The sequence below is a fragment of the Homo sapiens genome, chromosome 1 (assembly GCF_000001405.40).
Source record: "Homo sapiens chromosome 1, GRCh38.p14 Primary Assembly".
Classification (NCBI taxonomy): domain Eukaryota; kingdom Metazoa; phylum Chordata; class Mammalia; order Primates; family Hominidae; genus Homo; species Homo sapiens.
In genome coordinates this window covers 193734874-193752272 of record NC_000001.11, presented here as the reverse complement: position 1 = coordinate 193752272, position 17399 = coordinate 193734874, and the positions used below count along the sequence as shown (strand labels likewise).

General features: G+C 33.5%; 1 long non-coding RNA gene across 1 annotated transcript in view, besides 1 other annotated feature; it reads right to left on the bottom strand.

Annotated features, from left to right (window-relative positions):
- Positions 1-17399, bottom strand: part of LOC124904475 (uncharacterized) — a 765263-nt gene that overhangs the window by 467275 nt on the left and 280589 nt on the right. The window lies entirely within an intron of this gene.
- Positions 10541-11252: an enhancer, noted in NCBI's record as "OCT4-NANOG hESC enhancer chr1:193710151-193710862 (GRCh37/hg19 assembly coordinates)". NCBI's record gives its function as "activates a minimal SCP1, AML or CMV promoter by ChIP-STARR-seq in primed H9 embryonic stem cells {active_cell/tissue: H9 hESC(primed)}" and the evidence as "EXISTENCE:reporter gene assay evidence [ECO:0000049][PMID:30033119]".

Genomic DNA, 17399 nt, shown 5'->3' with positions numbered 1-17399 from the left:
ATCTAAGTTTAAAATATATCTATTTGAACCTGAGTAGTGACAAAGGACTATCACCAATGTCAGTTGACAACTCTGATTTTTTTTTCCACACATCAAATGACACCCCTGAGGAAAAAAAAATCATCTGTGCTTCTATTTTAACCATATAAGCATTTTTACTTGTAACTGTATTTTTACAGAAGGATATAAATGCTACCTGAGATTATTTTAAGCAACTCTATGTGACTACCTATTCAACCTAGTTCCTAAAAGACAACTGATACATAAATAGAAATAATGAAACAATATATCCAATACCTCTTTTTATTGGACAATCTTATTGAAGATGAAAGGGCACTAGTCCTTTTGCTGTGTTACCTGGAAAATCTATACCTAATGATAGTAAGGTATTCCAGATAGCTGCTCCAGTCTTCTCTCTTGGCCCTTCTTATAACTAATCCACTACTCTTCTGCAGCTGAATTTAATCCATTTTGCTACAAAGGTGAACAAATTATGTTCCCTTCTTTCCAATGCACATCCAGAAAAGCTCCATATTGAATATCAGAAGATTGTGTAAGTGAATTATAACACAGATAAGAATAATTTAAATCTGGATTCCAAATATTACAGCTCTCAATGTCCCTTCACAGATGGAATCCTTCTTGGCTGACTACACAACATACGACATGATGTCATAATTTATCTTTCACAAAGTAGAGTTTCTTTTTACCCTGTCCCTATTTCTCCCTTGTAGACTAACAGACATTCATCTCCCTAGCTGCTGTTGGATTCATAGATGCAAACTCAATCTAAATAAATTTGAGTTTGAGTTATAAAATTAAAGTGACATTTTACTTAATTACTTTCAGAATGTTAATGAGTAATAGAACCAGAAACTAATATCCTGTGGTCAGTATACTGTCAACCTCAGTGTGCTTCTAGAAAACCAAAGTATCAATTTAAGATTACTTGATGAGCACAGAATCAGAGCAAGAGAAGCGGACCATAAAAAGCATATGTTTAATGGCATCAGATAACTTAAAGTATCCTTCCCTACACAGGGTTATACCAGACACCCAAATAAGACACATCACACCTGCAAATGACAACATTCTCTTTTTAGGCACCTCTGGGATGAGCTCTGCATGTGTCTACATCCCTAACTTTCTTTGCCTATTCTTCCACTGCTAGCCAATGCTTCTCCTGAATGACAAACACATTCATTCTTTAAATAGATTATTGCCTTCAAATTAGTTTAGTCTCAAGTCTAGCTTTGGCCTTAAAGCCATTATGTTTTCTAAAGCTGATTTTTTAATATCTCTGTTCTGATCCATTATGCATTGAATATGTAATTTAGCTTGCAAAAAGCAGCCTTAACACTCCATATCCACGGGAGGAATATGTCAGTAAAGATAATTTATATTCAGTCAAAAGATAGAAGGAAACAACCAACTTAACAGTTTATATTCGGTTAAAAGTTAGAAAGAAACAACAAACTATTTACAACTTCTTACTTTCCTATCACTACAACAAGTAGGTGATGTCTACAGGAATAGCCCTGTTAAAAGATAGGGAAGGTGTCTAATTTCTTGGGATTGTGTCTGTATCTCTCTTGCTTGATGTGGGAACTAGGCAATTAGGCATTATACCCAGAAATACTACCACAACATTGCTAAGCATTATATAAACCCAAACTGATAGAAGAAAGAGGTAGACTTAACAATCAGTAAAGCATTAATTCCCCTGGACATTTTTTTTTTTTTTTTAGATTTTCTTCAGAGATTTTTAAACTCCTTCTTAGCCTACGGATTCAATTATTTATTTAAAAGCATTATATTCTTTGGTATTTGGAATAAAACTGTTAGTGTAAAGGAAAGAGCACAAACCATATACAAAAAATTCAAAGATCTGAATCAATTTTTTCCTTTGGTCACTTGCTATGTACCTTAAACATTATCTATCTCCCTAGTGGCTGAAATTTCTGCTTAATATGTAAAATGAGAAACTTTCACCAGATGAAATCTAAATTTGCAGTTATTGACACTGCACAAAATGGCTCCTTAGAATGAAACCTGTTGAAAACCTAAACGTAAGTAGAAATAAATAGTGGTAATCTATAAAGACAAAATTTGTCATTCCACCTTCCCACATTTATTCATCTATTAATCCATTCATTATTTAAAATACATATTTATTAAGAATCTAATCTTAGACAATTATTTTTATTTTTTATTTTTTATTAATTAATTTATTTATTTTTGCTAAAAGATTTTAAGTTCCGGGGTACAGGTGCAAGATGTGCAGGTTTGTTACACAGGTACACATGTACAGTGGTGGTTTGCTGCATTTGTCAACCCATTGCCTAGATATTAAGCCCAGCACACATTAGCTATTTTTCCTGATGCTCCCCACCCACCAGCCTCCCCCAACAGGCCCCATTGTGTGTTGTTCCCCTTTCTGTGTCCATGTGTTATCATTATTCAGCTCCCACCTATAAGTAAGAACATGTAGTGTTTGGTTTTCTGTTCCTGCGTTAGTTTGCTGAGGATAATGGGCTTCCAGCTTCGTCCATGTCCCTGCAAACGACATGTTCTCATTCCGTTTTATGGCTGCATAGCATTCCATGATGTATACGTACCATGTTTTCTTTATCCAGTCTATTATTGATGGGCATTTGGGTTGATTCCACATATTTGCTATTGTGAATGGTGCTGCAATGAACATATGTGTATGTGTATCTTTATAATAGAATTCCTTTGGATATATACTCAATAATGGGACTGCTGGATCAGATGGTATATCTGGCTCTACGTCTTTAAGGAATAGCCACACTGTCTTCCACAATGGTTGAACCAATTTACATTCCCATCAACAGTGTAAAAGTGCTCCTATTTCTCCACAACCTTGCCAGCATCTGTTGTTTCTTGACTTTTTAATAATCACCATTCTAACTGGCATGAGATGGTATCTCATTGTGGTTTTGATTTGCATTTCTCTAATGATCAGTGATGTTGGACTTTTTTTCATATTTTTTGGGGCACATGTATGTCTTCTTTTGAGAAGTTTGTTTACCAAACAGCATGGTACTGGTAAATAAACAGGCATATATACCAACGGAATGGAATAGAGAACTCAGAAATAAAACCACACATCTACAACCATCTGATCTTTGACAAACCTGACAAAAACAACAATGGGGAAAGGATTCCCTATTTAATAAATGGTACTGGGAGAAGTAGCTAGCAATATGCAGAAAATTGAAACTGGGCCCCTTCCTTACACCTTATGCAAAAATTAACTCAAGATGGATTAAAGACTTAAATGTAAAACCCAAAACTATAAAAACTCTAGAAGAAAATCTAGGCAATACCATTCAGGGCATAGGCAAAGGCAAAGATTTCATGATGAAATTGCCAAAAGCAATTGCAACAAAAGCAAAAATTGACAAGTGGGATCTAATTAAACTAAAGAGCTTCTGCACAGCAAAAGAAACTATCATCAGAGCAAACAGGCAACCTACAGAGTGGGAGAAAATTTTTGCAATCTATCCATCTGACAAAGGTCTAATATCCAGAATCTACAAGGAACTTAAACAAATTTACAATAATAAAACAACCCCATTAAAAAGTGGGCAAAGGACATGGACAAACCTTTTTTATGGAATACCCTTCTCCTGCTGGCCAATGTTCAATGCATACATGTTCCACACCTTCGTTGATTACTGCGGCTGCCCCATCACAATGTTTAGATCTTTACAATGTCTCCTGTTCCGTTCTCATTCCCTTAGCTAATCAGTCCCTCAATGTGACTAAAATGTTAAGAGCTAACCCAGGTTGCTTTATGGATTAAAACTAAAATAGAGGTGTTACTCTCATTTTAAAAATCTTGCGCTAATAGTGAATGTGGAAAGAGATCTGCAGATGTACATTCAATTGATTCCCTTGTCAAATGGACAAGGGAATTCAATGCAGGAGTATTTTCAGATAAATGGTCTTCAACAACTACATGACCATATAAAAAATTAATACATCTCAATTTTTACCACACACAATACACTAAAATTATCTCAAAATCACAGATCTAGATCTTAAAGCTAAAACTATTAAAAATATATAAAAGAAAACATAAGAGTAAATTTTTGCAACCTTGGGGATAACCAAAAATATTTTAAATACGGCACAGAAAGCACAAACCATAAATGAAAATCATTGATAAAATTGACTTTTTAAAATGTAGAACTTCAGCTCTTCCTTAAACATAAAGTAACTATAAAAAGATAAGTTACTGAGGAGAATATTACTATATTCTACAGGTATCAGTAAAATATTCTACAGGTATCTATCCAGAATATAGAAAAATCTCTTACAAATCAATAATAATAAGATTGACATGTAAATAGAGTAAAACAGTTCAATAGACACTTTGCAACATAAGATAAAGTGTCCAAGAGAACATAAATAAGATATTCAACACTATTAGTCATCAGGGAATTGCAAATTTAAACCACAATGTGATGTCACTGCACATCCACCAGACAGAATACAGTTTAAAAGACCGACAAATGCCAAGTGTGTAATGGTATTTGTTGGAAAGGGTGTACAGCAACTAGAACTCTCATACATTGCTTGCAGCAATTTAAAACAGTAAAACCACTTTGGAAGACATCTTGGCAGTATTTTATAATGTTACACATTCCAATTCCTAGGTATTTACCCAAAAGAGATGAAAACCTATCTACATACAAACACTCATACACAAATATTCATAGCAGCTTTATTCATTGTAGCCAAAAGTGGGAAGCAATTCAAATGCTCGTCAACAGGGGAATGGATAAACAATCTGTGTATATTCATGCAATGGAATATTACTTAACAGTAAAAAGTAACAAACTACAGATACACACAACAACGCAAATGATTCTGTAAAACATTATGTGCAAAGAAGTCAAAAACAAAGAGTAAAGACTATACGATTCCATTTATATGGAACTCTAAGAAAGATATTATAGTAGATTGTGATGGAGTATAGATAAATGGTTGTGTAAGGCCAAGGATTAGTGGTGGAGATTAACCCCCAAAGTGATTGTAACGTTCTATATCTTCATTACAGTCATGGCTACATGGTATATACCTTAGCTAAAACTCTTCAAATTCACACTAAAAATGAATGCAATTTTTATTTTTATTTATCTACACTACACATAAAACCATAATCTTTAAAAATAATTTTCTTAACAAAAAAGCAACCAATTTTAAAATAAATCTAACATGTGAAGGAGATATGTTAGAGACAAGGCTTGCTTTCATTTTCATAATTTCCTGATCTTAGCCCTACAACTCAAATTTTTATTTACTCACTACAAACCCTACACTCTTCAAAGAAATACTATCTAGAAATCAACTTAAGATCTTGCTGTTTGAAATGACTGAAAGCCTTCTAGAGACAAGTTAAAACTTGATATATGTCACTGATATGTTTACCAACTAATAAATATGAAATTTATTTTATAATCTTAGAATAGGTTTTTAATCAAATATGAAATGTATTGGATAAGTTGTTAAATTTTTGACACATTTATGTATATTGTCACAGGGCTCCAACCAAATGACTGGAGTGAGAGCAATAATTTAGAATGCTGAAATGCTGATTTAAGATAGAGCAATTCTGAATACCGTAACAAGTCTTATTTTATGCACTATCAAAGGGCTAATTTTCGGCACATCAATAAAAACCTTACTCTAAAATGTAGTATACTCCATTATTTAAAAATTGTAATAATGCATGAGCTAGTCTCATATCATATTTGATAATGTACGGCATAGATGCAGTGAAATATTTATTAAATATACTAAACTACGGCATCAGCTTTCTATTGCTCTATAACAACAACTCCAAAATACAGTGGCTAAAAGCAACCAGCATTTATTTGTTCACAATTCTATGGATCAGCAATTTAGACTGAACTCAAAGGGGCAGATGCTCTACTGGTCTCACCTGGAGTCATTCATATCAATCCCTTGGCAGCTCAATTGCAACTGAATGGTCTAAAATAGCTTCAAGCACTTGATTGGCAATTAGTGCTGATTTTCAGCTGGACCTCTCTCTCCCACGGTCTCTCACCCTCAAGGAGGCTAAGTCAGCATCTTCATATGGTGGTGGCGGAGTTCCACAGAAAGAGCAGAAGCTGCAACCTTTTTTGAGCTTTAGGTTCAGAAGTCCCATATCACTTTGGCTCTAATCTATTTTTAGTTCAGAGAATGGGTTTTGTAAGCTCTAATGTAGAAAGAAGAAAAGAATGTCAACAAGAGCTTTCCCATACCTGGTGTGCCTGAGAGAACAACAAGAGATGGAGCTTCACACACATACAGACACACACACACAAAATACAACCATATATGCAGGAATAAGTCTGTCTCTGTGTCATCTGGGTAAGGGGAGAAGGGAAGCTTAAAGAGTACAAATCTATCCCCCTTGTCCCCAAAGGAACCTCCTTCAAAAAGCTATGAAAGGGAAATCTATAGAAATCATAACATGTTACAGATTTTGTACAAAGATACTATACAAGAAAACTATTTTAAAAGTAGCAAAATTATCTACAATGGAGAAACATGGAAGAGAAAAAATGTACTACAACGCAGATTAAATTTATGACTACATTCTTCCATTAAAAAATAAGCAATTATTAATAAATGGAGATGACACAACTTGAATGCAGGAACTCAGTATGGAAATAATGAATAGGAGAAGAGATGTGAAATGAAAACTTCAGAAAGACATTGAACAAAGAAAACAAATTCACAGTAATAAATAACTGGAATTTGCATAAAGAATAAATGCTGAAGAAAGCACAAAATGGTCACAACTGAAAAAATTAAGCAAATAAAGAATAATTAAAAGAAATAGAAAAAAAGCTATGTAAAAGATATGTAAAACCAACTCAACATAGATATTCTTGGAGTTCTCAAATATAACCAAATGCACAGAAGATAAAAAAAATTACAACTTATACTTCAAAAATAGTACTGTGAAATAAAAGAAGATTCGAATCCAGTAATATTATAAAAGACTTACAGGAGAGAAAATATACCTGAAACTTTCTGCTGAAGACGTTACTTGGTCAAGTTACAAGATATCGAAATAGGAATACAAAAATTCTTAACTTTATAAAACACTGATATGGTGCCTAAAAGTCAGTTTTACACTTAATGAGAAAAATCTAGACTCATTCCTAAAGAAGTTGAGAACAAGTCAATGCCCACTATCATTGTTGCTATTTAGTGTTGTATTTAAGGTACTAGCCAATTAAATTAGACAAGAAAATAAAGGTATCTGAAGTGAAGAGATGTAAAACACTATTTGCTGAAGAAACAATGGTACTTCTTCAAAATCAAAAGTGTAAAGTGAAAAACTACATGAGCAATGAGAGAATTACTAACCACGGTAGGATAAAAAATTGACATAAATTTAATAGTTTCGATTAGTGAAATCATAATGAATTTGAATATATAGCTATAGCAATAGAGAAGCCCTCATTTTTATGCCAAAATTAAAAGCCATTAAAGCTAGATTTAAAGTTTTAAGGAATTATGCCAGTATTATATAAAGAACATATCAAGGCACTCTGAAGAGTACATAAGGTCTTAGATGCTATCTTTTCTTGTGAAAAATTAAACAATTTCTTCTAAACTGATTTCTAAACGAACCCATTTCCACAACAAATATCAAGTAATATTTTTCTTAAAAAATATTAGACAATATCTTAATTCTATTCTAAAATTTCATTTAAAATAACAGCTGATCCCAAAGTTCATGTGGAAAAATAAAGTGCTAGGAATAGCCAGAATAATCTCTGAAAAGGAAGTGCAATGAGACAGAATGACTGCTTGCAAATTTCAAAACATACAAAGCTTTCATAATTTAAACAGTGGCATAGTAATGCATGCAAAGGCTGATCAGTGAAATAGAAGTAAAAATACAGAAAGAGCCAAATATGTAGAAAAAAATCATATTTCATAAAGATGATATTTTAAATTATTGGAGAAACATTTATTGTTATTCAATAAATAGTACCAAGATACCAGGTAGCCGTTTTGCAAAAACAAAGATATACAAATCTTACACAATTCACGAAAATAAACTACATTAATATTAACAAGAAAGAGTCAGGTATAAAAAATAATTATAAAAGTAATACAGATATTACAGGAGAATTTCTTCGTAACTGAGAAGTGAACCTAACATAATTCTCTATCCTTGTATTAAACAATATAGATAGACATAATTTACTGTTCTGTTTCTGTACTAAACAATATTTAGACCAGGCAAAAATATCTTAGCTTCTTTCTCCAGGAAATAAGAGCTCCTAAAAGATAAGACTGTGAACTTACTTATCAAGACCGATAGCTTGTTTCCCAAGGCTCACTTTAAGATCCTCATTTTGCTATGCCCATCAATCCAAAGCAATTTTTGGTCATATACTTTGCCCAATCTCAGGCAAATCTCCTCCTGAATGACCCACCCTAATTCACCCATTCTGGCACTCCCTATAAATTACTCTGCCCTAGTTTCCACATTTTGAGATACTACTTTACTCTGTCAAGTTAGCATTCTGCCTTACTGCATTAATTCAACTAATTAGGTTAACTTCACATGATTAATGTATCTTTTCTAGTTGTCTTTTGAAGAGCCTACCTTCAATATAGTCAGGCTTTACCATCAGAAGCTACAAAAGAAAAGACTGACAAATTTCATTCCACAAAAGTAAAAATATCATAAGAAAATTCAAAATACTAAACACGAACTAGGAAAATATATTTGGCAAAAGATTAAGTTCCTTAACATATAAACTTTTAAAGTCCACAAAGTGAGAAAAGCAAAAGAAAAAAAGAGGGAGAGTAAGAATAGAAGAATTTAAAGAATATATAAAGGACATGAATAGTTTACAGAGAAGAAAACTAAATGTTTTCTAGGCATGTAAGAATACCTAGATTCACTCATAATCAGAAATGTGTAAACAAGCTGATAATTTCACAAAGAATATATAGGCATGGACAAAGACTTCATGACTAAAATAACAAAAGCAATGGCAACAATGGCCAAAATTGACAAATGGGATCTAATTAAACTAAAGAGCTTCTGCACAGCAAAATAAACTATCATCAGAGTGAACAGGCAACCTACAAAATGGGAGAAAATTTTTGCAATCTATCCATCTGACAAAGGGCTAATATCCAGAATCTAAAAGGAACTTAAACAAATTTACAAGAAAAAAACAAAAAACCCCCTCAAAAAGTGAGTGAAGAATATGAAAACTTCTCAAAAGAAGACATTTATGCACCCAACAAACATATGAAAACAAGCTCACCATCGCTGGTTATTAGAGAATTGCAAATCAAAACCACAATGAGATATCATCTCATGCCAATTAGAATGGTGATCATTAAAAAGCCGGGAAACAACAGATGCTGGAGAGGATATGGAGAAATAGGAATGATTTTACACTGTTGGTGGGAGTGTAAATTAGTTCAACCATTGTGGAAGACAGTGTGGCGATTCCTCAAAGATCTAGAACCAGAAATACCATCTGACCAAGCAATCCCATTACTGGTTATATACCCAAAGGATTATAAATCAGTCTACTATAAAGACCCATGCACACGTATGTTTACTGCAGCACTATTTACAATAGCAAACACTTGGAACCAACCCAAATGCCCATCAATGACAGACTGGATAAAGAAAATGTGCCACATATACACCATGGAATATGATATAGCCATAAAGAAGGATGAGTTCGTGTCCTTCGCAGGGACATGGATGAAGCTGGAAACCAGCATTCTCAGCAAACTAACACAGGAACAGAAAACCAAACAGTGCATGTTCTCACTCATAAGTGGGAGCTGAAGAATGAGAACCCATGGACACAGAGAGGGGAACAACACACACCAGGGCCTGTCGGGAGGTGGGGGGCTAGGGGAGGGATAGCATTAGGAGAAATACCTAGTGTAGATGATGGGTTGATGGGTGCAGCAAACCACCATGACATGTGTATACCTGTGTAACAAACCTCCACGTTCTGCACATGTATCCCAGAGCTTAAATAAATTAAAAAGAGAGAGAGAGAGAGAATATGAGAACTCAAGGAAAAGAACTGGGATAATTTACAAGTGGTTCCATAGTATAGGAAATAATAAACTGTTCACAATTGCAAAAGAAAAAAAAAACTCATAACTAGAGTGAGACTAAAAGTGTGCAGGGAATTAGAAGCTTATGTTCTAGTCTAAAATTTTCCAGGACTTGGAAAATAAACAGTATTATTTCATGTATTCATCTATGTATGAATTCATTATTGTAACAAGTAGTTTTCAATATTTCATTAGACACTAACAGTTGGCCCTTGAACAATGAAAGGGCCGGGGGGCACCGAGCCCCACCACTCCCAGTGTAGTAAAAACTCGCGTATAATTTTGACTTCCCAAAAACTTAACTACTGATAGCTTACTGTTGACTTACCAATAACATAAACAGTCAATTAACACACATTTTGTGTATGTAGTATATAATATATTCTTATAGTAAAGTAAGCTAGAGAAAAGAAAGTGTTAAGAAAATTGTAAGGAAGAGAAAACATATTTATTATTTATCAAGTGGAAGTGAATTATCATAAAAGTATCCTCATTGTCTTCGCGTTGAGTAGGCTGAGGATGAGAAGGAAGAAGAGGGATTGGTCTTGCTCTCTCAGAGATATGGCAGAGGTGGAATAAAATCTACTTAAAAGTGGACCAGCCTAGTTCAAACTCATGCAGCTAGAGTCAACTGTACTTCACAGTAGGTTCCCAGCAGGAAGCAAGAAAAACAATAAGAGATAAAGGTAGTTGTAAAGCTGCAATGAGATGTAAATGCTCCAACCTAAGTGCTCCAGTGATGTAAATCCTCCAAAGCTAACAAGACAAAGCATATTAACATGTAATTAAGAAAAACAGTGCCCCCACCACCTTTCACTCTACCTGCACACTCCCTTGCTTCCCATACTCCTGCCAACTTAGATGAACACCAGAATTTGAATTCATGTGAAGGCTGAGAGGAATGTCAAACTATACAAGAAAGAGGGACGGGTTGGGGAGGGCTCCCTTTGCAATGTATGTAACTCCTTTTGAATTTATATCAAAAGATTAAAATTTCATTAAATTTTGTAATTAGAAGATATAGAAATATGATAAAGCTGGAAGAACAGAACCTCTCCAGTATTCCACAGAACATTTCATGTCATTCTCCTAGGCTATGTCTGAGGCAAATCTCTCTGAACACCCTGGGTCCATAGTTTATAGAAAGAGACAAGTCTCCACTCAGGCTCCCTTCTCCAACATTCTCTTGGAACTCCGGGGTATCTTTACCTCTTTCAAGCCTCTTATATTTATGCTTCCTCCTTCAAACTTAGACCTGATTCTTTACAGTGTCCATCATGTCTACTTTTCTGCTTATCTCCATGTTTGTGCTTACTCAGTCCTCAGAAGCTGGGATTTATTCTTTGTCTTCCATTTTTTCTAGGAAATTTCTACTCATCTTCCTCAGACTCCCTATTCCATAAACTCTTCCTCTGATACCCCAAAACATACTCTAGGTTTTACATAACACGTATATTACAGATTGTTTTAAAATATGTAGCTTTCTGTTTCCCTCATTAATTGAGGGTATGTCTTATTTATCTTTGCATCTTTTCCTCCTAGCAAAGGGTCAGGCATGTAGAAAATAATGCATTCTGATTAAATGAATAAATGCACAACAAAATAAACTATAAAACTGTATAGTAATCACATACCCTCTATTATAGTTTAAAAATAAGCAACATAGCAAAGCAATATGCTTTTAATAAAAGGCAAAATGTATGTATAAAAAATTACAGCAATTACCAAAAAGAAATATCTATAAATGACTTGAAAATTGCAAGGAAGAAAAATGGTTAAAGTATTTCTACAGAATAGGTTTGTTTTACTGATGCATTCATGTGCTCATTTTGTTAACAAATTATTGTAACACATATTATGTGGCAGGCACTCTGAATGCAAATATACATAATTTCTTAATATCTTATAATTTAGTTAAAAGAGATTCATTTTTATGATATCTGCTCAGTCTACCTAGCGAGTCAATCACTAAAAAAAGTTTCAATAATTTTTATGTTAAACAATTACTTACAAAGATTTAAAGCCAGAGACGGTATCAAGCCCTCACCAATGGGTTCACAGGCCTAAGCCAATCTAGATTTATATCTAAAAGTTCCAAAAGTATCAAATAAAGTGGAATGTTTGCAGTGTGGTTAAGAGTCAAATTAAATATCAATTTATGTTCAATATACTCCAAAATGAAAAAGAATTCAAAATTTAATCATGTATCAAATAGATTTAAATGCATATAACAGTTTTAGATATCATCATAATTACTAAGCCTCAAATACATAGTAAATAAATTTATCCAAAGTATTTCAGTCCCTCAGAGTTTGGGACACTGATGTTTTACTGAAGAAATTAACCATGAAATCTATATTTAACTGTTGATATTTGCATTGCATATATAGAACACTAAAAGCAGTGAATTTACAATATAAAAATACCGTAAAGCACTAACATGAGACATTCCTCACTGCAGACAAAATTTCTTCTTTAATCCTAAAATGTTCTAAGAATCTGTACTGGGATTCCCTAACTCATGACAATTTTGTAGCAATGTAAGTTGCTAAAGAATTAAAAGGGTGCACTTTATTTCCTTAAGTTTTATAAAATTAAGATTGCTTAGTGCTATTATTTACTATCAACATCAACCCTTCCAGTTTATTTTTAAGTTTATTGAACTCACTTGTATGTCCTAAACAAATTATTTATTTAGCACCTCACCCCAGTTTAAAAAAAATAAGCTAGAATGCTAGTATTTTCTATGAGTTTTTATTTTGATTTTGAATAGTTTACCATCTAATTAGAAAAGAAAATGAAAATGTCACAAGGTAACAAAAATATTGACTACCATGGACAGATTTATAATAAACAGAGTTTAATGACACCACATGTTCCCAAAATGCCTAAAGGCTAAGAAGGTAAGTTTCTACAATGGAAAATAAAACAAATCTATATATAAGAGAGCAAAATAATACAACTGTGGATATACTAAAAATTAAAGAATGAAGATTATACATCTATTGTATGAAGGTCGTATATAATAGTTTTCAGGGAATAGAACATTATCCCATGGCATTTCTGGGATATTTTCATTTCATGAAATATGAAACAAATGAGAAGACATCTAAATTTTAGGAGTCATATTATTATTTTTTAATTCTGTCACTTTGCAAATATCATAATACTTTCCTGTTTTAATAAAACTACTTCATTATGCTTTTTTGTACATTACCTCGTGAATCTTGAGGTAGAAAAACATCAGACTGGTAGATTTACAAGATTCATAAGAAACTGTAGGATACATTCAATACTTCATATAAACACAAACATGAGATGTTTTAAAATTAAAAGTGGCACTGCTTTTCAAAGGAAATTGTGGGATTTTTTTTTTAATGGCTACGACTTTGCCCCAATATTATAAGGTAAAACCAAGAACTGTTAATGTATATTTAAAAGAGCTTGAAAGAGCACGAGGGAAGGCAGAAGCTTCTATCTTCACTTTTTCCCTTGAAATCCAACTCACATACTCTTTCTCTCTAAACATTTCATTTTCTCTTACTTTCTGTGAAGTTTTTTTCATTCCTTGGGGTGTCTAACTCATCTGTGCAATTCAGAATTCTTGGAGTATCAATTACTTACAGAAACCATTTCTCTGTGGCCTTGCAGGTTGTCCTTCAATTAAGAACTTTGGAAGAACAGAGGGAGAAGAGAAGGAAAAAGTGAGGCAGCTTCAGCAGCTACCAAAATACCAAGAACTTGTTACCACAAAGGATGTAGTAAGAGCCATGTTATCATGTGTTAAATACAAACAAGAGAAAAAGGAGTCCAATTTTCTCCACATGCATTTTTATTTGTGACTTCCAGGAACTTTGGTTATATTGCACATGGAAAAAAAAAAAAAAAAAGCAAGGTACGTCTTAACTGATTTTCTTTAAAAAATATATGCTATATTTGTGACAACATGATAATGGATGCTAGTGTCAAATCTCTGATTTCCCTCTATGCATGTGCAGTCCAAATACAAAAAATAACATATATATACAAAATTTTAAGCTTATTGACAGCAGAAATAATGTTTTTTGTACTTGCAGTCTTCTTAATCCAAATGGTGTCTTCATCAATGTTTAAGACATTCTAATCTCAAGATACATGTAAGTATGCATATATGTATTCATATCATGGAGAAAGTTATAGTTATTTTTAATAATTCCCCAAGTTTAAGAAAGAGTGGATATAGTTAGCCAGTGAGTGCTTTCTTAGTACAGCAGGGTGAAGAGACTAGAAATATACATGATTGGAGAAATAAAGAGCTATATTGCTCTGATTTCAAAAGGGGGATAGAGTCTTGCAGAGAATATTTGTTGACATTCAGTTAAAAATTAAGGAGTCTGAATGAATAAGGATGGTAGGCACAGAGAGCTGAAAACACCCTGGCAGATGAAAGCTGAGGAAAGGATTTGGAAAAACAAAGTATGTAATGAAAATTTCATAAAGTTCCTTGCTATGTGGCTGGTAACATACATTTTCCCCTTTCTCATCCCAAGAAATCTTCATTAAAATCTCCATTATTCATTTGTGTTTGGTAAGTAAATTTGCCTTAGGAGAGTAAGGGCATGGGATCTGAGTTGTGCTTCAGGAATGAAAAACAGAGTCTGCAAGCAAAGACTGCTGATATCTTTTGAGTTTTGTCTAATGCTAGAATTACCTCCATGATATCTCTACAATGTAGATATCTAGATGCTACTTGACATATACAATGACAAAACAGACAAAAAAAAACTCTCCACCTCCAAAGGTGTTCATTTTTTCTGGCAAAAAGCTCTTATATATTAAAACAAAAACTTTCATATATTTAAGATTTGGCTTGTTGTAGCTGCCTCCTAATTTACTCTCTATAATTAGATAGAAAAATATACTTCGACTTTTAAAAAATATATAAAGGCAACTATTATGGCCCTCAAGTCATCAGAATTTATAAAAATAGTTTTGAGTTTTTCAGTTTTGATCAGTAATCCACAGCATGAGCGCTTGACAAAGACCAACAGAAAAGTATACAATTGTTTTATTAATTAGACAAGTAGATTACACTCTATGCAACAATAGCCAATACCACTTTGAAGTGGATAAATGGCGAAAGAGTTCTCAATTGCTACCACAGAAAAATTTGAGTAAAGATACACAGGGGGTATTATATCTCCCATGTCTTGCCCAGTGAAATGTACATTTCAGCTTTGACCTTAAAAGAGAAGGTTCTCATCAAATCAAAATAGAAAATAGCCCTCAACCTTGTCAAAAACCCAGACACTGAATGCAGAGTAGACAATAACTTCAGGATCACACAGAATGAAAATAGGACATTTTTAGAGAACTAAAAATAGGAGCTGACAGTGTCTCTGAAGAGAGTTTAGGCTTTAGAGCAGATAACGTAGTTCGAGTTGCACATAGCTACATGAACTTGGGCATGTTACTTAATAACCCTAAGACTGTTTCTTCATTTGTAAACAGGAACAAAAATATTGATATCTATCAGGTAGTATTGTTGTATTAAATGAGAAAATCTACATAAAGCACATTTTATAATATTTTAAAAATAATATTCAATAAATAAATCACGTTTCCATTTTATTATGATCATAATATTCAGCATAATTATCTATTTCATCAACTAAACTCTGAGCTTCTGGGGGATAGGAATTCTGTAATATTCATAAATATATAAGAGTGATATTAAACATTTCTTGAACAAAATACACTTGGGGTAGCTATGTATATATACGGTTCTAGAGTTTTCCGCAATAAGAAAAAAAATTGTTTAATCAGCTGTGTACCAGTTAGGCAGTAAAAGCATAAGACTCAAAAAATGAAATTACATATTAATATGAATTAAATCATATTTAACCATACCTGGAGTAATAATTGCTTATCAACTCCTTAATGAAGATTAATGAGAAATATATATATTAGCTTGTATTATTGTTTAAAATATTTGTTGCTTTTCCCCACCAATGACTCTCAACTGTGGGAGGATTATTCATCCCCAAGCTATTTAACTCAGACACAAATATGAAATACACAGAAAAGATGTGTGTTTCTTCTGAGCTGAACCTTAAAGTTTAAAGGTCATGGTTTGCCATTTTTTTCTCCTCTGCCTTGAGACCAGCAATATCCCAGAGAGAACTACTGAGCCAGGCTGGGTGCTCGAGAGAAGATGAAATAGAGCAAAGGAAAAGCTAGCCCATGTTACACAGTAAGACAAGAAATAAAGTTTGGTATGCTGATCGACTAAGATTTCAGGGTTGCCAGTTTCCAAAGCATAGTTTAGCCTAAATTGAGAGAAAAGCTGTGATTTATATGTACTGGTATATAACTAGGTTTAATTTTGTAGAAAATGTCGATAGTTTTCATTCCACATTGTGAAGTCATCCATTTAATGCTAGTTCTTCAGATACTTTCATGAAGCATTTTTTTAATCCTCCAGTTATTGCCAAACAAACCACACCCAATTATTGCTAACCAGATTTTAGTATGTGGTGTGAAGGATATATTAACGGTTCCCTTAAGGAATGTGTTTTAAGGCCAGGCGCGGTGGCTCATGCCTGCAATCCCAGCACTTTGGGAGGCCAGGCAGGCAGATCACGAGGTCAGGAGATCGAGACCATCCTGGCTAACACGGGGAAACCCCATCTCTACTAAAAATACAAAAAAAAAAAGTTAGCCAGGAGTGGTGGCGGGTACCTGTAGTCCCAGCTACTCGGGAGGCTGAGGCAGGAGAATGATGTGAACCCGGGAGGCGGAGCTTGCAGTGAGCCAAGATCATGCCACCGCACTCCAGCATAGGTGACAGAGCAAGACTCCATCTCAAAAAAAAAAACCCAAAAGTTTTAACAATATTTTTTTCCCCTTGATATGTTACCAATCTTCAATGGCACAAATATATGATTACATTTATGCCTTGTTTCTGAAATTAGTAAAGGACGTTTTATATATTCAAAAGGAAAAAAATCACCATACAATATGATAAACATATTCCTTTTAGTTATATATATAAAACTCTTCTAGAATCATGCACTATAGCATTTATTGAGTTTTTATGAAAATTTATTCAATTCATTATAAGATCTACACTAGTCTTACTAACCTCCATTCTCTTATTTCAAAGTGAATACCTCACATTTTGTTCTGTTAGCAATCTGCTAGATCAAAGTCATTTTGGACTAAAAAGTAATAAGAACACATACAGTAATTCAAAT